At 38.3% G+C, this 23638-nt stretch overlaps 1 protein-coding gene, 1 long non-coding RNA gene and 1 other non-coding gene across 3 annotated transcripts in view; 1 reads left to right on the forward strand and 2 right to left on the reverse strand.

The window, feature by feature from the left end:
* Positions 1–23638, reverse strand: part of IGSF10 (immunoglobulin superfamily member 10) — a 187494-nt gene that overhangs the window by 116526 nt on the left and 47330 nt on the right. The gene's annotated exons all lie outside the window — the stretch shown is intronic.
* The window catches only part of LINC02066 (long intergenic non-protein coding RNA 2066), a 105814-nt gene continuing 85375 nt past the window's right edge, over positions 3200–23638 (forward strand). Inside the window, exon 1 of the long non-coding RNA NR_183765.1 lies at positions 3200–3304. This is a non-coding gene — a long non-coding RNA (long intergenic non-protein coding RNA 2066). The remainder of the gene's footprint in view (positions 3305–23638) is intronic.
* Positions 16919–17038, reverse strand: MIR5186 (microRNA 5186). The gene has a single exon (NR_049818.1). It is a non-coding gene; the product is annotated as a microRNA 5186 (primary transcript).

A 23638-nucleotide genomic window follows, 5' to 3' on the forward strand; every position in this document is an offset into this window, starting at 1 on the left:
AAAATGTATGCAATTTTTCTTCTTGTCTATACTAGGATGTTAGTAATCATTTTTGTTCACTTTTCTTTCTTTTTTAAAGTTTTCTTCTACTTGCATAGCCTCTGTTGCATAAAAGCTGCTTTTATCTATTTGTTTGTTTTTGTCTCTTTCTTTGATGCTTTGTGACCCTTGGTTGTTTTCTCATAGTTAAGAATAGGACACTAAAAATGGAGAGGAGTAGTTGGTTGGTGGCTTTACCGCTTGATATTCTGTCTGGGCCATTTCATTGGGGGAAGTCCTGGTGTCAATATTTTTATCTTTTTTTGGAGGGAAGTGGCAGGAACTGATGTGATTCCTTACCTCGATCTGTGCCTGCTGTCTACCAGCCCAGAGATCCTCTATTTTACACTCCAGAGAATAAACCTGTAGCCTCCAGCAGGAGAGGACAGTTGTTTAGCTGCATGGACTTGGCATATAACATGAAGATACTTTCAACCAATCTTCCAGTTTTTGTCCTATCTTCTTCTTTATATCCAGAGCTGTCTGATATCCTCAATTCCTATGCATTTAAGGGTTTGCAGCATGAATTCAAATATTTACTTATTTCTTCTGCCCAGTCTTGAGATTTAACTTTCAGAATTTAGCTTTGCTTCTGCTAAGTCAGTATCACTCATTCATATTACAGCTTCCAAAATTTTGCAACTGTCATTTTCTTTCCTTTTCCCTTTGTCTTTGGTTGATATGCTTTTTTAGATGGCTCTTTGCTATGATTTTAATGGAAACCAGAGAGGCAGAGAGAGTAAATATATGTACTCAATCTACCTTCTTTACTGTTAAATTAAAATATGTACATCAAAGGAATCTCTACATTAAAATTTAGAATTTGTTAACTAATCTAGATATGTCTCATTGAATTCCTTTTCTTATAAGAGTATTGTAATTTTTAACGTTATAATTTCTTCATTCATTTCTGAGTGGCATATTGAAATTAATAACAGCCTCTGAAAAAAGAGACTATTTCCAATAAATATACATGTTGATTGTAAGAGAGACCTTGGTTTAAGAAAAATTAAAGGGTAAAATCCTGGAAATATTTGGGCTGAGAAACTATAGTAATTAAATATAAAAAATAAAATTGAGAACTTTTAGCAACAAAGCAAAGGGAGAAAATGACTTGTAGTAGTTCATTAATAATTTGTCTTATATTTTGACTCTGCTAATAGTAAGAGAAAAATGAATCATCATGGAATTGTACACAATTTCACAATTTTACCTGAGGCAAAAGAAAATCTTATTCCATTTTGGCATATCTCCGGAGTAGTGAGTTTGACATTTTCATCCTGATTTCCCTCTGGTCAAACATTTGAATTTTTTTACTTGTTATCAAGGAAATGTTGTGAAATCTTCTAGATTGTCTTTTATAATCTTTAATTGAGAATTTATTTTTAAGTGTTCTTGTGTCCGGGCCAATAGAAAAGAACATATTCCAAGAGCTTTCTCGGACAAGAGAAAGGGCATTTGAGGTTTCTGCACATATCCTCTGGATACAGTGAGGCAAAGAATCCAACTTGGCAAAATTAATTCATGAAGAATTTAATTACACAAATGGCTATTTAAAATGTTTCTTTTCGGGGGTGTTTTGGGATAGGGATGGCACATATGGCTACCAACTAGATCTTTTTTTTAGGTGTATTTAGAGACCTGATTTTTAAAAAAGAAGTTGGTCATTACGATTTTTTTCTCGTTTTTTACATTTCTACTGTCTGACCATGCCCTGAGCCATGAACTCAGCTGATCTGACCATCTCTGGCTTCATGTGGCCAGCACCAAATTAGATTGTGTCCATGTACCCTGGAGTTGATCCTATCATTTCTTGCTGTCTGTTGGCCCTTCATATCCTGGTCTGTTCCTGTTCTTGATTCCTGACATCTGGCCTACGCTCCTGCCTGCGATTGTATGCTTGCCCGATAAATCTGAGGCTGATGTTGCTCCCTTGGTGCTGTCATTTGGCTCTGCTCCTTGTCCCCATTGGCTCTCACTCCTTGTAATGGACTTACCTGGGCCAGTCCTGCTAACAACCCAGCATGGTTCAGTGTGGCCCCTGAAAACCCATCTCAAGATTAACTTGCCTGTGTGTCTACAAGGTTTGACCTTGTCCTGCCAAGCAAACTCAGACCATACTGGCAACCAGAGGTGAAGAGTGGTTTCTTGGCTTGCAGAGAAATTTGCTGTGTACTGAATAAAAACCTTTTTGTTCCCTTAAACACAGATGTTAACTCCCTTTGATGCATACTTATAAGCTTTCAATGAGTTCAGTGGTTTCCTATTTAATTTATTATTATTTTTTAAATAACTTATAGTCATCCCTCAATATGTGGGGGATTGGTTCCAAGACCCCACTCCACAGTATACCAAAATCCACACATCCTCAGGTATCACAGTCAGCCCTGCAGAATCTATGTACACAAAAAGTTGGCCTTCTATTTTTCATGTGTTTTGCATCACCTCAATAACGCATTTTTGATCTGAGTTCAATTGAACACAATCCAAAAACAAAAAAGAAAGAAAAAATCCATCTATAAGTGGATCCATACAGTTCAAACTCATGTTGTTCAAGGGTCAACTGCACTTTAATTTGAGGAAAGGTTAATCAGATGTCAAATACAAGAAATAATTTTCAAGATATAAAATTTTTAAGATATAAAATGCCTTGGAACATGGGCATTACACACACACACACACACACACACACACACACACACACATCTGAAGGCATATTTGTTGAGGTTTCAATTTTTCATTAAAATATTTTAATTAATTTAAGGCATTCTATTCTTGCAATTTAAATATTAATTGAGGATCCTTCTTTTAATTTCAAGAATTTTAAGTTACAAAATCTAGAGCCTATATTCAAACATTATATGGAAAAAACTAGGAATTCTAGTCTTAGCTGTGATTCAAACAAGTTGTGATCATTTTGAACAGGACAATAATGCCATTGTAATCAAATCCAATGCTCATAATCACTCACTGCATGATGTGGTTTGGCTCTATGTCCCCATCCAAATCTCATGTTGAATTGTAATCCCCAGTGTTTGCGGAGGGATCTGGTGGGAGGTGATTGGGTCACGGGGACAGATTTCCTTCCCCCTTGCTGTTCTTGTGATAGTCAGTTCTCATAAGACCTTGTTGTTAAAAAGTGTGTAGCATTTCCCCCTTTGCTCTCACTCTGTCTCCTGCCAGCCATGTGAAGGTGTGCTTACTTCCCCTATGCCTTCCACTGTGATTGTAACTTTCCTGAGGCCTCCCCAGCCATGCAGAAACTGTGAGTCAATTAAACCTCTTTTCTTCATAAATTATCCAGTCTCAGGTACTTCTTTATAGCAATGTGAGAATGAACTAATACACCGCATGACAGCCAATACGTACAGAGACAAGGTGTTGGGGCAAGGAAGGCAACTTTATTTGGAGAGCCAGCAAACCGAGAAGATGACAAACTAGTGTCCTTAAGCAACATCTTAAGTAAATATGAATTTCAGGAATTTTATTTTCCTTTTATGTTAGGGGAAGAGGGAGGGCATTAAGATCAATAGACCTATGACCACGGACATCTGGGTGGCAGTGAGGGTCCGAGGAGGTTCTCAATCTTCTTTCTTCTCAATCAGTTGGCTTTGGATGATGTAAGTCAGGTCACAATGTTCCTATAAATCTTTAGCATAACATTGTTAGTCACATGCATCCTCTCTTATCTCCTCAGGGGGTTAGTGCTGGGAAAGAAACTATTATTATTCTTGCTTTAAACTATAAATGAAATACCTCTCATAGTTCGCTTTGCCTACATGCAGAGATAAGCAAAAGCAGTTAACCTAAAAGAAATGACTGCAGTGATGGGGTTAGGAGCAAAATGAAATTAGTCATGATAGGCCTTCTTTTTACTGTTAAACCATCTGGCATAATATCTAAGAGGAAGTGGTTATATTACATAATTTTTAAGGACCCCATTAGTTTTACGGCTCATCCATGTCTATGAATCCAAGTGATGACTCCAATACCTTTATCTCTAGCTCCTGCCCAACCCTAATAAAATTAAAAAATACATGCAAAGCTATATTTTCATATAACTGAAAATATAATAAATGTAGCTTTATAATATAAATATACCTTTCTAATACAAAGTAGAAACTCATGTATACATCTATGATTATAGAGATGCCTGTAACAATTACGGTTATACATCTGAGTGTTCTGCTGAAGGGTTAGCAATTTTGGATAGATGGTAATATAAAGACAAATTATCTTAAATATTTTGTGAAATTTACTTTCCTTTATTTCAGCAAAATCACATATCATTGTTGTAATCAAAATTTTCACATAATCTGCATTCTAATGAAGCTAATGAGAAGATAATCTTTCTTGAGTTTTCATTAAATAACATTTTTATTTATTTTAAGTTGGAAAACTATTCTTTTGAGTCAGTAGCTATTAAAATTGTCAATAAAAGTTCTTAAAGCAATACTTAGATTCAGAAATGAACCAAAAATGTTTCATACCATGTTAAAACATTAGAATGTGATCAGTTATGACAAATCACTATCACAGATTCTTAAAACTAGTTTAAATTTTCTTATAATGTATATCATGACTTCCACTTTCTTTCAGAGCTCTCTCTCTCTCTGTGTCTCTGTCTCTCTCTCTTTCTATATATATACAATATATATTTACAATATATATGGTATTTCTTAATTTTTTCATCTTCTGAGTTTTTCAATACTAGCATATTATAAAGCAAACCAAAAACAATGATACATTCCTCAAGTTTTTCAAAAGTCTCCTCAGTCAAACCCTATGTTGAAAAACACTGGGCAGAAAATATTTTCATTAGAATTTGCTTTTGAGGCCAGGCATGGTGGCTCATGCCTGCAATCCCAGCACTTTGAGTGACCAAGTTGGGAGGAGCACTTGAAGACAGAAGGTGGAGATCAGCTTGGGTAACAAGCTAGACCTTGTCTCTAAAACAACAGCAACAATAACAACAACAAAAAAAAAACAAAAGAAAAATAGTAGCCAGACACAGTGGCGTACTCCTGTAGTTCCAGCTACTCCAGAGGCTGAGGCAGGAGGATTGCTTAAGCTCCCAAGTTTGAAGCTGCAGCGAGCTGTGATTGCACCACTCTAGCCTTGGTGACAGAGTGAGATCACACACACACACACACACACACACACACACGCAAAGTTGTTTTTGAGATTCTTAGACATGAACTTCTTCTTCCTAGTCAAAATTACAAAAGTTTTTGCTTTTCCCTTAAATTCCAAAGATTTTATTGGAATAGCACTTTGCTGCATTGTTTGAATGTATTTTAACTCTAAAAATAAAAATAAAAAAATTATATACTTTAAAAAAGTCAATAGCCCATCTTAGATCAGCCTGTTTTTTTTTCCTTTTTGTAAATTTTGCTAACATCTTTAGTACCAAACAACTTCATAATAAATAACTAAGGCTAGCAAAATATTTCAATTTTTGCCAAAGCGATTTTCTCCATGTTTGGGTACCTTCTGTGATTTTGCCTAACTCTCATAGTTCATTACCTATTTTATCTATTATAAATCAATTTGCATTTTGTTCATATAAAATCTTGTCTAGTTTCATTTCTATATTGCATCTGAAGTGGTTATAAAGTCACATTAAACATGTATTTTTATCAGGATGTTCCATATTTTGTCAGATCCAGAAAATATTTCATACAATCTTTGAATTGTACCAAAAACTATCATCACTATTGACACGGTTGAGACCTTATTTCCTCAGAACAAATTTAAACCATGTACTATACAAAGCCTAAAGAATGCCTCTGGAGTTTCAGTGAAATATTTAGCTCTAACAATTTTTTTATTTAATAAATATGTTAGTGCCATTTTCATAGCTTGCAAGGGTTCGAGGCTATCCAGAGATCTGTGGGAAATACTAAATGGTTTCCATTTTAACCACTAAGTTTTGGGGTGATTTGTTATGCAGCACTACATTGTGGTAATAAATAATTGATATGGAATTTGGTATCCTGAAGCAGAATTCTGGCATAACAAACCCTTGAAGTACGTGGCACCAGCTTCTGATTCAGGTGACAAGCATAGGCTTTAAAGTGGCAAGGAAACTTAGCAAAGGCTGGAAGAGAACTAAGGAAACTGCCATAGCAAACTGGAAAAATTGTGTCCCATTAATAGTGACAAAACGTGTAAAACTGTCACCTGTGGTAACTGCAAAAACGAAAAATGTATTTAAATAAACTTTTTGGATTTGAGCAAGAAGATTTCTACACAAAATATTAAAATGGTCAACTATCTTTTATTAGCTGCAGATGATAAAATGCTACATAAAACAGATGAGACAGACAAAACACTGGCCACTTTGCAAGCAGAATTTAGAGGGAATAGAGAGGAACTAGGACTTACACGGTTGGAAAAATAAAGCTATTTATCATCTTCATCTAGTTGAGTCAGTTAAAAATTCATCAAAGTAATATTGGGATTAAGGAAATGATCAAATCAAGCGTGTGGATGAAAGAACTCTTGTTAAGACCTCTGAAGGAATTAAAGTGGTCCATGGTATACCTCTGAGCCTACAAAAGTCTGCTAGGAATCATAAGGGTCTCATCTCCCAGCTGCCTGACCTAATCAAAGTAGCACTGATTGAGTCTAGAGAACAGGGCCTGTTTCAAAAGAATTATGGGTGTTGTGAGATAAAGGAACAAATGTAAGAAGACATGTTTACTCATTTCTGCTTGCCAGCATGATTTCACAAAGCCCCTGCCTCTGTAACAATGTGCAGCTCTCTGCAGAAATGCTTTGAACACAAAACAGGATAGAGCACGCAGCCCCCCATGTCTCTGGCCTGTGTCACTATATTCCTTAAAAGATAAATGACTCTAGTCCTTGCCTTTCCCTGCAAATAAAAAACATCTCAAGGGGTTAGTAATTACGCCTCTGTAATCTATAACCAGATATGCTCTTACACTCAAACCTTGATATGATTCTGCCTCAGTGTAACTTCTGAGCAAGTTTAATGTGATTTCACACATACTGAACCCTCACTACTTGTATATGAGCAGTGGGATGAAATACTGGGCTGCAGCAGTCTGACGGAACTGCTCTAGGGCTACAGAGGCCCCGCTGGTTAGTCCTCAGTAAGAATTCTGAGTAAAACTAACTTTCATTCTTTAAAAGCTTGATCTTTATTTTTCTGTAGCCAGTGGTGTGAATTTTGCCAAATGACATGTATGCTAATCAGATTCACAGGAAAATTACAAAAAAATATTTAGAGACTTCCATGGGTAAAAGTACCACTAACACAGACTAAAACGATGTGAGACTACCCAAAATGTATGAAAGTCTTTGGAATCATAACTTTCTTTGTGGAAAACTAAGCTGAAGAATGCACTCAATGAGCACACTTTCCCTTGCTCTCTCATGGGAGTTTTGATGAAACAGACCAGTTATGCTAAGGAAAAGGTTATGTTATGGAACAGGTTTTCTGCTTGCATATTGAAGTCATGCAAAAAATGGAGAGAAAAACTGAACAAGATGTAAGAAGCTTTAGTAAACAGTAGCCAAATTTGTTAAAGAAATACAGTAGAAGGGAAAAGAAGAGAGTAAGGAAGAGAGAGAGAGAGAAAGGAGCAGACAGAGTCATGGAATGTGTTTCAAAGAAAAAAGATTTCAGTACATAGCACTGGAGAGTAAGAAGAATGCTGACACAATCTCCTCTCCAGCCTTTGAGAGGATGGTAGGGGAAATGGTAGGTAAGTTTCAGATTAAAGATGTAGAGAAGCTTGATTGTTAAGTAGTTGTGCATAGGGAGGATAAGTTCCTGTTTTCATAGAAGTCATGTTTTATTGCTTAATGCCTTGGGATCCTGTCTGGCTGACCATTCGTTCTGTCTATAACATGCCAGTTTGGATAACCATTTCTCTGGTCATCTTACACAAATGATCGTTGTAAAGTCTTTTAGAAGGAGAGGAAGAGTGGGAATTTCGGTTTGTGAGGAAAATGTTTATTTGTTCAATGTATGAATGAAGGAGAATAACAAAAGGTGCGGTAAGGGGAGAAGGAGGATGAAGAGAGTTTTAGGTTTGTTGGAAAGTTCAAACATTTCCTCTGAAGGTTCAATAACTGAGTCTGCTGAAATAAACTGACAATAGACAGGTTAACAGGAAAAAAGCTATACATATTTATTATGTGCACTTGTGCATGGGAGTCACACAAAATATGTGACTCAAACAAAGGCCAGATGGTTGAAGCTCAAACACCCTTCCTCTTCATAGGAGAGCTGTAGGCAATGTTAGGGGAAGAGTAAATAAATTTAAGAGAGGTGAATGGGCCTGAAGAACAGACAGTTGTCCAGGACAAAGTTCTCCTGGCCTCTGGTGTGGTGCCAACTCCAGTCTTCCTTCCTGTGATATGCATCAATTTCCTTTAGTTGATGAGAATATGTGGGGAAGAAATTTACAGAAGTTGACTATCTTCTGAAAGATCTGGCCTTTAGTTAGACGGAGGAGCCTCAGAAAAAGCCCTTCCCTTCCCTGCATTTGCTACTTCCCAGATGCTCTCAGTTTGCATACAAAGGGGCATATTATGCAATGATGTTTTCTGAGCCCCCAACAAGTTATGTGAGTGACCCAAGATCCTTAGCATGTAAGATAAAGTAGCATTAGCTGGCTTTAAGGATTCCATTAGTATCTTTGTGGATAGACTTCCAATCTCTCTGGAAAGAAGAGATTCTGCTTCTAATACAAGAAGAGTGAGTGGACTGCTTAGTTTCCCTGTGTGCAAATAGTGGCACTCTCCTAGTCTGGGATCGTTATTTGCTACAAATGATCTCTTTGTTTATTACTAAGCTTAACATTTCCCCTAAGTTTAATGTTAACTCATCTTCAGTATATTGTCTACATTTTAGAGACATCTTCACAAGTTGGGGTATAGTTTTTCTTTCTTATTAAAAAAACTCCGTGAGCTGTATTTCATGCCTTGCTGCTTAATCAATTTTAACAGATGCAAAGCAAATATAAAGTATATATAATATATATATATAATATATATATTGGTACAATATGTTTGTCAGAATGATTCTGTTAGGAAGAGCTTTGGAGAATTCTAGTGGATAGATTCTATTTTTCATGTATAATCTTTACGTACAGTCACAGGTTTCCACCTCCTGAATTTTAGGAGTGTAACACTGAAGCCAAAGTTGGCAAAGTTTCATTTAAAAGACATGAGATATGAGAAAGGCCTTAAGTGTCCAGTTACAGTAACCCAACAAAAAGAAATCATTTCCATTTCACTGAGCAGAATAAGTCAGGTAGATTTAGAAGATGCAATTGCCAAGTTCTTCGGGTTAATTCTAGTCACACTCTCGCTTCAGGTTGGCTTTACTATCACAGAAATTACCCAGGCTTGATGGGAATAAATGGAATGAAAGACCACAAATGTAGGTCATGCCCATTCAAGACACTGCCAAGCACATACTCTTGCTATACTATTGGGGTTTAATAATTGCTGTCACATGACTTCAGAAGTATGCCCCATGAATACATTTTTTTTTTTTTGAGACCGAGTCTTGCTCTGTTGCCAGGCTGGAGTGCAGTGGCGTGATCTCAGCTCACTGCAACCTCAGCCTCCCAGATTCAAGTGATTCTCCTGCCTCAGCCTCCCGAGTAGCTGGGACTATAGTGAATACATATTTTTCCTACTACTTGATGCAGAAGTTGGCCTAAGGAGGTCACACACTGAAATCCCAGAGCTTGCCAATGAAAATGTTTGGCATAGTATGGCAGAACTCAGATTTGTCATCTCTGGAGGGGTCACCTTTTGACTCATGGTACATGTGATTTCATTTTTGAGCCAGAATGAGTCTGTTAGGAGGAGTTTTGGAGAATTCTAGTGGATAGATTCCATTTTTCATGCACAATCTTCATATACAGTCACATGTTTCCACCTAGTAAATTTTAGAAATGTAATGCTGAAGCCAAAGTTGGCCAAGCTTCATTTAAAAGACATGAGACATGAGAAAGGCCTTAAGGGTTCAGTTACAGTAACCCAACAAAAAGAAATCATTTGCATTTACACTGAGGAAAATAAATCAAGTAGATTTAGATGATTTAACTTCCAAGTTCTTTGGGCTAATTATAGTCACAAGACAAAAGGAACATTCTAGCCAGGCTAGAAGAATAATTCAAGGGAGTAAAAAACAAACAAACAATGAAGCCTCTCAACAGCTATTGATCATGGTATTTTGCCAATATATGTGAAAGCACAGGCACGTACCTGAAGGCAGAGTGTTTTCTAATAATTGGTGACTGGAAATTCCCTAGCAGTACCACACCTCAAGGTCTGGCTTCACATGCACAGTGAGAATTCACCAAACAAAACATTTGATTACTGAGAGAGTTTAGAATAAAGATGCTCTAAGAATCTGGAGTACACACGTACTTGCAAAAATGTAATAAACACTATACAAAAATTGATATACTAGGAAACAACTATTGGGAGAGTAATTGACATGAATGTTTTAAAAATTTGGAGGTTCTAGAAGAAAATTATTTTGGTTGTATTGATAATTTTGTATATCTAGGAAAATTTCTTAATTTATTGCTGAAAGGTATTAACACTACTTTGTAGGATCAAGGTAATTATTAATCAGAGTCAAATAAAAGAATTTTCTGATGTATAATGTGGTTGTTGAAAAGGTAGGGTTGGGAGCGTTGGAGAGGAGTAGAGGATAGGGGAGGGTATGGGAGAGTAAGAGAGTGGTCCTCGCCTATCCTGAATTATTTTGAATAGGTTTCAGACTACTTCGAATAGGTTCGATGAATTGTTATTAGCAAGAGGACACCTGCTGGAGAAAAAGACTTTACATGGGTTCTTAGGGGGTGGAGCAGTTCCAACGTGATGAAGACAGCCTGGTATCTGTCTGAAATATGGGATTCCCCAGTTGGTCCTTGGGTCATCTGAGTCACGGAAAAGAGGACTCCAGGCAAATGTCAGATCTGTGTTTATGAGGAGATGGTGTAGTGCTTAGAAGACCAAATCCAATCCAGAGCTAGATGCAAGTTTTGCAGGGAAAACCCCAACATATGACTGCAGAAGACCAGGATAGGCCACCCCAAAATATGCCTTTTTGGTATATTGATTATTTTGAGCTTGTTACTTTGAGAAACTGTGGACACAAGAGTGGCTCTTAATAGTTGCCCTTTTGTAAAGAAAATTTTTATCTATAAAGGAAATTTTCATTAATATAGGTATTTGTACCAGGAAGAAAGCTGTTCCTATGACAACTTTTATCACCTCGGGGCTCTTATTTGCATAACAAGACAACTTTTATTCACCATACATTTCCTCCTCTCACACTCCCATAATTTGTGGCTACCATCACCCCAGCAGCCCCAAACTCCTATTCCGTCTAACTCAGGGAGCTTTAATCATCTGTTCCTTCTTACAGTCTCATATTTTTGTGGGTATCCCTGGCATATGTGCATAATTAAAATTATTTTTCTCCCAATGATTTGATTTATGTTAACTTAATTCATAGCCCAGCCAAAGAACCTAAGAAGGTAGCGATAAGTCATTTTTCCCACCCCTATAACGTCTTAGGCAAGATGAATTAGAGCCAATGAAGTGTAAGTTATGATGTTAATTTAATCCCATTTATAAACACAAACTAATAAGGTCTGGGACTACTCATGTTACAGATCTATAACAAATTATGCATTGCCATAGCCCCCCCCTCCGTCCCACAATCTCTTAAGCAAAGGGATTAAACTAGGGTGTATATTTCTTCAAATCCACACCAGTTCTTGGAATTTTAGACTCTGTGGTGTGTTGTTTGTTTAAGCTACAAGATGTGTGAGCAAATTAATCAAAGAAAAAAGTGACCCACATGAGTGCTTTCTTAACAACGTTGACTTCTTGACCAAACATAATTTTAAATTGGATAGCCTCTGAGTCTTCGTTTACTTGTTGGAAAGTTAAGAGTAACAAAGCTATTTATTGTATTTGTTCCAAGGAAGAAAATGATGAAATTCTTCTTTTCTTTCTAAATTGAGCCAACATATTTCAGAGAGTATACATTCTTTGATAAAATCTGGTTAGCATTTTTGGAAGAATCTGTTTGTTATTTGTTTTCTGTCAAACATATTAGTGCAATTTTGCTGAAAAACAGCCCACTAATGACAGCCTCGAATCAGAACAACAAGCAGCTTCCCAAGGAGAGTCTTGAAATCATCTTATTACCCCTAAAAGTTTTTGATAATTTTTTCTTTAAAACAAAAAACTAAATGTTGTTTCTTGCTAAAGTAAAGGGAGAAAAATCTAATTGTCTGAGGCACATGGGTTAAATAGTTCTCTAAATGAGAACTTAGTCTACTTCCTTAGGCAGAAACATACTATTTCCTCTTTTTAATCTCTATTATGAAGAATCTAAGAATCCCTAGAAAACCAAATACTCTTCCCTTTCATCAGGTTCATCTGTACAAAGAGGTGTATAAAGGGATTTATTTAGAATTGCTCATCGATGCAAAATGCTGGTGACTCTTTTGTAAATATAAATATTATTTAATAGGGAAACAGTTTTATTCATCTCTATGTAATATGTATATCTATGTAATGAAATAAAATGTGGCTTTAAAAAGAGTAAACAAGATGCATATGTACTGACATGGAACGTCCTCTAAGATATCCTGATAAAGAAAGAAACAAGAAGCAAAATAATATATACATCTGTTACCATTTGTAGTTTAAAAATAGGAAGGGGAGTGGGGAGAGGTATACATATCTCTGGTAACCTGGGGAAGCAGAACCAAAGTATGTGGAAGGCAGAGGAGGAGAAATAATTTTTTCCTTATTATACAATCTTTTGTGCTGTTTAAATAGTGAAGCATGCTGCAATATTTCTTATTTAAATTACACAAATAAATCATTGAAAATGTAACCCATGTGTATAGCCTTGACGTTCTTCTGGTCCAAACACATACTTTCAAGACTTATCTTTTTCTTTTATCAGAGGCGTTTGAACCAGAGCAACTCCATCTTGAAAAGGGGCTGAGTACAATAAGGCTGAGCCCTACTGGGCTGCATTCCCAGGAGGATAAGGCATTCTTAGTCACAGAGATAGGAAGTTAGCACAAGATACAAGTCATAAAGACCTTGCTGATAAAACAGGTTTGCAGTAAAAAAGCCAGCCCAAACCCACCAAAGCCAAGGTGGGAATGAGAGTGACCTCTGGTCTTCCTCACTGCTGCAGTCCCGCCAGTGCCTGACAGTTTACAAATGCCACAGCAATGTCAGGAAGTTACCATATATGGTCTAAAAAAGGGGAATATTAATAATCCACCCCTTGTTTAGCATGTCATCAAGAAATAACCATAAAAATGGGAAACCAGCAGCCCTCGGAGCTGCTCTGCCTATGGAGTAGCCATTCTTTATTCCTTCACTTTCCTAATAAACTTGCTTTCACTTAACCCTATGGATTCACCTCAAATTCTTTCTTGCACAAGATCCAAGAACCCTCTCTTGGGTTCTGGATTGGGACCCCTTTCCGGTAACAGTTTTACTCTAGTATAAAGATGACACATACTGTTCAAAGCATCTTAAAGATCACCTGGTCAAACCACCTCATTTTAAGGAAGTACCTTCTAAAGGTACTTCCTCCAAGAGTGGAAGGTACTTGGCCAGGATTACACAACTTGTTAGTACCAATGTCCAGACTAGAGCCTCAAGCTTCTTAATTCTACAGAAGTGCTCTACTGTGGTGCCAGACCCCTATTGACTCCAGTAGGGAAGGCACCAATGCACCATGTCCAAGAGCCCAAAGAAGAGACCCAAGTGAATAAGATATAGACTTTATCAAGGACGTACATACAGGGCAGTCAGGGAGTGGTCGGATGGACAGGAAAAGTGCTACCACTTGTAAAGATCATGGAGTTTATATAAAAATGTTCATTTAACCCCCTCCACCTAGCAACCTCCACCTAGCAAACTCCATTTAACCCAAAACATAGGGCCTCAATCCTCTGCATGACCTGCATTCTAAGGGATGGGCCAGGGATTCATATGTTCTTCATAGAGAAGGAGTGAATCTCTGGGTTGGCCACTCCCGGATTCCTTAGCTCAGAACTCCTAACACACATTTTTCTTAGACGGTAGGTCATTCATAGGGTATGCTTGAGTTAATGCTCTCAGGTGTGTCTGCCATATATCTTCTCACCCTGCGGCCCTCTAGGAGAGGGAATAAACAGCCTTGACCGTGAGAGTGACTTTCTTCCCATTTCTCCTACCTGGTACTGCTTGCTAAGGCCCGTACCTCTGCACCTCATGTCCCAGGGCATCCTGCCTACACTTTAGGCATCAACTAACTAGAATAACAAAATAATAAAATGTCCTAACTTGGGCCTTCTTAATTTGAGGTATGTGAATGGGCTTCAGGAAATCCTGAATCTAATAAAAAGCTAAGGACTCTAGGGAGAGAGTTCAGTTTTCCATGAGCTTCACTGCCAAGTAAGACAAATAACACGTTTATGGATATATAAAAGAGACCTCAGAAGCCATCAAGCCATCAGATACTCAATTGTCCCTGACAACAACTTGCATTTTTTCCTTCTGTTAGAATTATATCCAAGTGCTGGAGAGTTGTCACCAACAACAGTAATATTCACTTGGACATTTAGCTCTAGTTTAAAGCACTGGAGAGAATTTGGTTTCCTGTAGTTGAATTTGCAGCGTTTAAAAAAAATATTAGCCTGCCTTATGATATTTTATAAGTATTTAGGAAGTAAAATTTTGGTTGAACAAAAGCCATAATTTATTTAACAAATATTTATATAGGGCTTACTATATGCTAGGCACTGTTTTAAATGCTTTATAATAATTAAGTCATTGAATTGTCAGAGAACTACCTATGAGGTAAGTGCTGTTCTTATATCCATTTCACAGGTGAGGAAACTGAGGCACAGACAGGTTGGGGAAGCAATCCAAATGAAGACATCAGAGGGTATTCACCCAGCAAGAGGCAGAACTAAGATCTAAATTCAGGCAGTCTGGATCCAGCATTTATGTTCCTAAACACATCTTTGCTCGCTTCCTGTTATGAGTGTGAAAAGAATATTCTGTTTCATAGAAGATGATCATCATCAGGTTTTACCACAAACCTTGCATTGGCTTTAGGAGTAAAACATAAATAGCTATATTTTTTCTAATTTCTTTATGTTAGTTCTAATAAACAATGTATTAAATACATATTTTTAGGGCATTACATGCATATTTAATTTGACCAAGCTGATATTATCGGGTTTCATACTCCTTTTTTGCATCAGTACACACATTCAATTTTATATTTGACTTTTTTTTTAATTGCACAGGGAGCCAATTGGCAGCTTTGGATCAAATTGGCTTACATATATGTTTTGGCCAGCATGACGTTTAAGAATTTATTTCCTTCCTTCCTTCCTTCCTTCCTCTCTTTGTTTCCTCCTTTCTTTCTTTTTTTCTTTGACAACATTTACAAATTGGGAAATTGACCATGAAAGTCTAAATTTCTGGCTTCTTTTTGAAAAGACAGAAGGAAGCATTGGGTTTGCATTCAGGCATGGAAATATTAGGCTGGACTGAGAAGTGGCTGACCTTTTAGATGAAGTTTGTGTTCCCCAGTTGGCCATAGTTTTTACCAGTTTGCTTTGCTTGATATCTGCATGCATTTGGGTTACGGCAGTTGAATGAGGTATGCATGTCCTTAGAGGCCAAGAAACAATTTACTTACTGACTGAGCTTTAGCATGAGAGAGCATAATGACATGTGAGTTACCGGTGAATCAATTACAAGAGGTACCCAAAGGTAAGCGTGCAGTTGAAAGTTTCATATACAAGTGGTTGTAAATAAATAGCCTATAACTAAAAAGTAAGAATCATGGTAATGGTTAAATGTTCATTGAATACATACTAAGCACAAGATTTCTTATAGGTATCAGTCCCTTTAACTCTTGTAACAAGCCTAGGAAGTAGAAAACTGAGACAGAGGCAAGCTAAGTAACTTGTGCAAGATCACCAGCTAATAAACAGCGCAGTTAGGACTTCAGTCAGGCAATCTGGTTCTGGAATCTGTGGCTTATATTATGCTATACTTTCTCTCTAAAAACTCTGAAAGAACTCTCTAGTACTGGCAGAGAATGGGATTTACTGGTTAATTCATATGATGGTTTGACAATTGCTGTGTGAATTATCAATTGTTAGGAGGTAAGACCAGTTGAGAACTTTAAGCAGTACTTCACTGGGGTTTGGCAAATTGGTAGAGAGACCTTGAATCTAGAATCTAGTGCTTGACTTTATAGGCCCAGAAACCATATTTCACCCATTTGTAAAAATCATAATATAAAATCACCAGTATGTTTGTAACCCAGAAGTACAAAAAGTGAATAAGGAATTTGAGATGCCATTATATACAGAGGTGAGTGGTAAGGTCTGGTTTACTGGCATCCTGGGAGCTCCTGGCCAGAGCAGAAGGTGAACATTGTCAAAATTGAAACAAGGGATCAAGAAAGCCAGGCCTGCCTCCAGGTTGAGGTAAATAGTTCAAATTATGAAGTTCAAGCAGCTACAGAATGATCTGTTCCAGGGGTTCAAAACTTTTTTGTGCATCAGACTCACCTGGGGGAAGTTATAAAAACAAACAAACATAGAAATGTTCTGCTTTATATTTTTAGACCTACTAAAGCACCTACCCTGGAGTTCTAGTGAGTTACTGAGCTAATTCTGTTGCTTCTGGCCCACTGATTGGTATTTGAGAAACACTGTTCTAGTTGGAATTTGCCTTTTGAGAACGTTAATGCATAGTATCAGATAGATACGAGAGTGATAGATTAAGATGATAGCTATGATTCCTGTATTAATTAATGCATGAAAGTGTTAGCCAGCTTATGGCATGACCCTCTCACCTGATTTCTACCAATCTCTCCCCAGAAAGAAATCAGCTGAGGAAAGGTTGGTAGAAATCAGGTGAGAGGGTCAAGTCATAAGCTGGCTGAGTTGGGGAGTAGGCAGGGGTCCAGTCCTGGGAGAATCAGTGCAGAAAGCAACTGAGGCAGTGCCAATGTTTAATGAGAGGCTTATAAAATTGCCACAAAGTGAGGCCCTAGCTACATGTCATGAGAACTCCCTGGCAGAGGGGAGAAAGCAAATTTGGATTAGAATGGGAGGTATCAGCTAGAAAATCAGAAATCTGACCAAATAATGATAAACATGATAGTTTATGAATTAGGAAGCAGGGAAGTGAAACCCTACCCCACAAATGATAGATTAGGAAAGATTTGAGATGAATAGTAGAAAAGATAGTGCATAAGGTCTCCTCTGCTCTCCCCAGAACTGAGGGATGATTAAAGTTAATAGCATTTGTTGGGTTCTACTTAATAAGTACAACTTTTTGGATTTATTAAACCAGTTGGCATTGGTTGTGTTATGCTATAACAAACTCCAAATCTCAGTGGCTAACAAGGAAGTTGACTTCTTGTTCTTCTGACAACCCATGTGTTGTCCCTGCTTTGGGTCCCAGGCTGATAGAATAGTCGCTATCAGGAGGATGCTACCATGGCAGGGACAAAGAGAGCTCAGAGGAAATCATGCCAAGAGATAAACATTCAACAGGAAAGTGGCATACATTGTTTGTGCTTTCAGTTCATTGGCCAGAATAGTTACATGGCCTCCACCAACCACTGGGAGCCATAGAGTGCTATGTGCCGGAGGGCAGAGAGCTGGGAATATTTAGTGAGCAGCATTCGGTACTACCATCTTTCCCTCTGAATAGGTTAACAGCCACAAGTCCTGTCACAATTTTTAGCAATTTCTTCAATGTCAAGAAGAATTATATTTCTTAGCTAACAGAGGTGGTGTAGTTTCAGGGTGCCTGCCTGGCCTATCTACAGCACTGTCAGCTCCATGCTCACCCTTGCTGAAGAGATGAGTCTCTCTGTTCAAGTTCGTCTAATGTCATAGCCTTTTCCCTGATTGGACCAGGGACCAACACCTATCCAGGTGGCTGTCAATCTGTTGGCTAGCCTGTAGGCAAATGTATTTTCTGAGACACAGAGTCTCTAGTCAAATGGATGTGGGCCTATGAAGTAAATGGGTCTGTAGACTTGGGCCCTGGGCATTTTGATCCTGTCTGTGGACAGTAGCCAATGATCATAGATGAGGAAGATTATATGCAGTTGAGACAAAGAGAGAGAAACTTCTATCTTCAGTGGTTCCCTGGATCTCAGCTCCTATTCCTGGGAGATTCACCTCTGCTTCATTTTTTGTGAAATGGCTTTATGGCCTTATAATAAATATTCATTTTATTTGAGCCACTTTATTATCCATATGAATAAATTGAGAAGCCTAGTCACTCTGCCTCTGCTGAGAGTATCATCTGTAAACCAGGACTGTAGAAATTCTGGGACTCGTGCTAGGGTGTATAGTTGGGAACTAACAAGAAAAACTTTCACTGTAAACCTACTTGAACTTTATTTTCTTATTTTCTGTATTCCTGATGCTCTGGCATCTTGGGCCTCACAGATCTGGAGGGATGGCCTCTCCCAGCATTAGTTAATTCCTGCAGATATCAAACAGTGTTACCTGGGAGGGTCTCTTTTATATGCAAACTAAGCAATTCAAAGCCTACTGTAACTAGCCCCCTACCTCTGTGGGACCCTTCCACTCCAGGCCAATAGTTTCTTGCCCTAATCAGCCCAGGGCGAGGTGCTAGACAATTCCAAACAGCTCCTACACCCCAGAGCCTGCTGAAATGATTCAACAAGACAATTCTAAACCTGCTTAGCCTATTTTCCTGCCTTGCCCATTCCTTTCCACAAAACTGCAGTAAAGGCGCTGACCCCTGCTTTTCCCCTGTGCCCCCTGCCTGGCTTCCACAAGCGACTTCCCTGCATTGCTGTGCCTCCTATTTCTAGGGAACTGTGAGTGCAAACACCTTCTTCCTTCATGACAGTCATTGTCAGGCTCACGTCTTACTATAAGTGATCAAAACAAACCCCAGTACATTTTAAAACAAAGCCTCTCTCTCTGTTTTCTTCTGGGCCTCAATCTTTGGGTACCTACTAGTTTATTTGTCAGAAGAGTAAAGACCCTCTGTTCTGGTAGGTGGTCCTCTCAGATGTCTAAATTATTAGCTGTCTAGTCTACTGCCACAGAACATATACAATAGAACAAAAAAAGTACTTTTTCCTCTTTAATCCTGTATTTATGATTATTATAATAAATTATCCTTATTTCTAAGCATATGTTTGGTAAAAAGTCAGTACTAATTGTCACAGGCACACTGTTTTACTGGACAAAGCTTGAAAACACATGGACACGTGCCTCCTCCAGACACTGTGCAAACCAAAATCCTTTTATTATGACAACAAAACAATGACCTCATTTCTTTCAGAATTTAATTATCGGTATTACAATTCTCTTGTTAGGACTTTAAATGGGGTCTGGGACACTACTAGATAGTGTTTGGCTTGAGGACACAGAAATGCCTGAATCACGATTTGATTTATAATATCTCCCTAGGGACGGCTCACACAGAGTTCTCTTTCTTTATAAAACCCTGCTTCACCCCTGTGTGTAATAAGCTGACATTCAAGCACATAGCATGTCTGTCAGAAATATCCACCTCCCTTTAGTCTTTGAACATCATGGTGGGGGAGGATTTAGTTTTAGTATAGCAACACTACCCTCCAACCCTCCCATGCAATAGAAAAAGTGTATCCTAGCAATTTTGACTTCCAGACACTGGATTGTCTCTTTTCTGGTAAAGGAAGAATGGGCTGCTGAAGCTCCATTTACTAGGTAAGACACCCTTATGACTGTTCTCAGGTGTATTTGTCAGAGTGTGTAGTCATGAAACCAAACTATGTTAAATATTTCCAGCAGAAAGAAACTTAATATAGGGAATCAATAGATTACAGCAAAGTGCAGAATGCTACTGTTGACGTCACAGTCATTGCACAGCCCCCGAAAAGAAGAATAACGGAGGAGTATGAAGTCTGAGGTAGCCGAACCTAGCAACTGCTGCTAGTCTGCCACCAGCATTTCTATTGCAACAATACATTCTGCCTCCTTTCCACCTGTATTTAATTTGAGACCGAATCTTGCTCTGTTGTGCAGGCTGGAGGGCAGTGGCAAGATCTTGACTCACTGCAACCTCCATCCACTGGATTCAAGCAATTCTCCTGCCTCAGCCTCCCTAGTAGCTGGGATTACAGGTATGCGCTACCACATCCGGCAAAGTTTTGTAGTTTTAGTAGAGACGGGGTGTCGCCATGTTGGCCAGGCTGGTCTTGAACCCCTGATCTTAAGAGATCCACCCACCTCAGCCTTCTATAGTGCCAGAATTACAGGCATGAGCCACTGTGCCCGGCCTTTCCATCTTTTGAATATCACTTGTGTGCCTCTCATTTGTTATCTCTACTATAACTGATGGGGTGGGATTGTAGGAAATGTAGTTCCCAGGCTTCCTGCCCCATGATACCAGAAAAGAGTGTAAAAGGGGCAAAAGTGATGCTAAGTGCTGAGATAATCTGTCACACCATTTAAGTAGGGGTATTGCAATGCCTTGGCTTTCAGGGACAAATGTGTTCTACAGGCTAGAGATTTAAAATGCAGCCACAAAGTCCTGCCCTGGTTCAAGGGCAGGAAATACAGACTCCATCTCTAGATAATAGAAATATTAAAGAATTTGTGAATATATTTTCAATTGATCATGGCATTATAACTATTTTTTAATCTTTTTTTTAAATTATACTTTAAGTTCTAGAGTACAGGTGCACAGCGTGCAGGTTTGTTACGTATGTATACATGCGCCATGTTGGTTTGCTGCACCCATTAACTCATCATTTACATTAGGTATTTCTCCTAATGCTATCCCTCCCCCATCCCCCCACCCCATGACAAGCCCCAGTGTGTCACGTTCCCCTCCCTGTGTCCAAGTGTTCTCATTGTTCAATTCCCACCTATGAGTGAGAACATGTGGTGTTTGGTTTTCTGTCCTTGTGATAAGTTTGCTGAGAATGATGGTTTCTAGCTTCATCCGTGTCCCTACAAAGGACATGAAAGAATCCTTTCTTATGGCTGCATAGTATTCCATGGTGTATATGTGCCACATTTTCTTAATCCAGTCTATCATTGTTGGACATTTGGGTTGGTTCCAAGTCTTTGCTATTGTGAATAGTGCCGCAATAAACATTTGTGTGCATGTGTCTTCATAGTAGCATGATTTATAATCCTTTGGGTATATACCCAGTAATGGGATTGCTGGGTCAAATGGTATTTCTAGTTCTAGATCCCTGAGGAATCGCCACACTGTCTTCCACAATGGTTGAACTAGTTTACAGTCCCACCAACAGTGTAAAAGTGTTCCTATTTCTCCACATCCCCTCCAGCACCTGTTGTTTCCTGTCTTTTTAATGATCGCCATTCTAACCGGTGTGAGATGGTATCTCATTGTGGTTTTGATTTGCATTTCTCTGATGGCCAGTGATGATGAGCATTTTTTCATGTGTCTGTTGGCTGTATAAATGTCTTCTTTTGAAAAGTGTCTGTTCATATCCTTTGCTCACTTTTTGATGGGGTTGTTTGATCTTTTCTTGTAAATTTGTTTAAGTTTTTGTAGATTCTGGATATGAGCCCTTTGTCAGATGAGTAGATTGCAAAAATTTTCTCCCATTCTGTATGTTGCCTGTTCACTCTGATGGCAGTTTCTTTTGCTGTGCAGAAGCTCTTTAGTTTAATTAGATCCCATTTGTCAATTTTGGCTTTCATTGCCATTGCTTTTGGTGTTTTAGTCATTGAGTCCTTGCCCATGCCTGTGTCCTGAATAGTATTGCCTAGGTTTTCTTCTAGGGCTTTTATGGTTTTAGGTCTAACATTTAAGTCTTTAATCCATCTTGAATTAATTTTTGTATAAGGTGTAAGGAAGGGATCCAGTTTCAGCTTTCTACATATGGCTAGCCAGTTTTCCCAGCACCATTTATTAAATAGGGAATCCTTTCCCCATTGCTTGTTTTTGTCAGGTTTGTCAATGATCAGATGGTTGTAGATGTGTGGTGTTATTTCTGAGGCCTCTGTTCTGTTCCATTGGTCCATTGGTTTTGGTACCAGTACCATGCTGTTTTGGTTACTGTAGGCTTGTAGTATAGTTTGAAGTCAGGTAGCGTGATGCCTCCAGCTTTGTTCTTTTGGTTTAAGATTGTCTTGGCAATGAAGGCTCTTTTTTGGTTCCATATGAACTTTAAGGTGGTTTTTTCCAATTCTGTGAAGAAAGTCATTGGTAGCTTGATGGGGATGGCATTGAATCTATAAATTACCTTGGACAGTATGGCCATTTTCACGATATTGATTCCATAAGCATGGAATGTTCTTCCATTTGTTTGTGTCCTCTTTTATTTCGTTGAGCGGTGGTTTGCAGTTCTTGAAGAGGTCCTTCACATCCCTTGTAAGTTGGATTCCTAGGTATTTTATTCTCTTTGTTGCAATTGTGAATGGGAGTTCACTCATGATTTGGCTCTCTCTTTGTCTGTTATTGGTGTATAGGAATGCTTGTGATTTTTGCACATTGATTTTGTATCCTGAGACTTTGCTGAAGTTGCTTATCAGCTTAAGGAGATTTTGGGCTGAGACGATGGGGTTTTCTAAATATGCAATCATGTCATCTGCAAACAGGGACAATTTGACTTCCTCTTTTCCTAATTGAATATGCTTTATTTCTTTCTCTTGCCTGATTGCCCTGGCCAGAACTTCCAACACTATGTTGAATAGGAGTGGTGAGAGAGGGCATCCCTGTCTTGTGCCAGTTTTCAAAGGGAATGCTTCCAGTTTTTGCCCATTCAGTATGATATTGGCTGTGGGTTTGTCATAAATAGCTCTTATTATTTTGAGATATGTTCCATCAATACCTAACATATTGAGAGTTTTTAGCATGAAGGGCTGTTGAATTTGTCGAAGGCCTTTTCTGCATCTATTGAGATAATCATGTGGTTTTTGTCTTTGGTTCTGTTTATGTGACGGATTACGTTTATTGGTTTGCGTATGTTGCACCAGCCTTGCATCCCAGGGATGAAGGCGACTTGATCGTGGTGGATAAGCCTTTTGATGTGCTGCTGGATTCGGTTTGCCGGTATTTTATTGAGGATTTTCCCATTGATGATCATCAGGGATATTGGTCTAAAATACTCTTTTTTTGTTGTGCCTCTGCCAGGTTTTGGTATCAGGATGATGCTGGCCTCATAAAATGAGTTAGGGAGGATTCTCTCTTTTTCTATTGATTGGAATAGTTTCAGAAGGAATGGTACCATCTCCTCTTTGTACCTCTGGTAGAATTCGGCTGTGAATCCATCTGGACCTGGACTTTTTTTAGTTGGTAGGCTATTAATTATTGCCTCATTTTTAGAGCCTGTTATTGGTCTATTCAGGGATTCAACTTCTTCTTGGTTTAGTCTTGGGAAGGTGTATGTGTCCAGGAATTTATTCATTTCTTCTTGATTTTCTAGTTTATTTGCGTAGAGGTGTTTATAGTATTCTCTGATGATAGTTTGTATTTCTGTGGGATCAGTGGTGATATCCCCTTTATCATTTTTTATCGCATCTAT

The sequence above is a fragment of the Homo sapiens genome, chromosome 3 (genome assembly GCF_000001405.40).
Source record: "Homo sapiens chromosome 3, GRCh38.p14 Primary Assembly".
Lineage (NCBI taxonomy): Eukaryota > Metazoa > Chordata > Mammalia > Primates > Hominidae > Homo > Homo sapiens.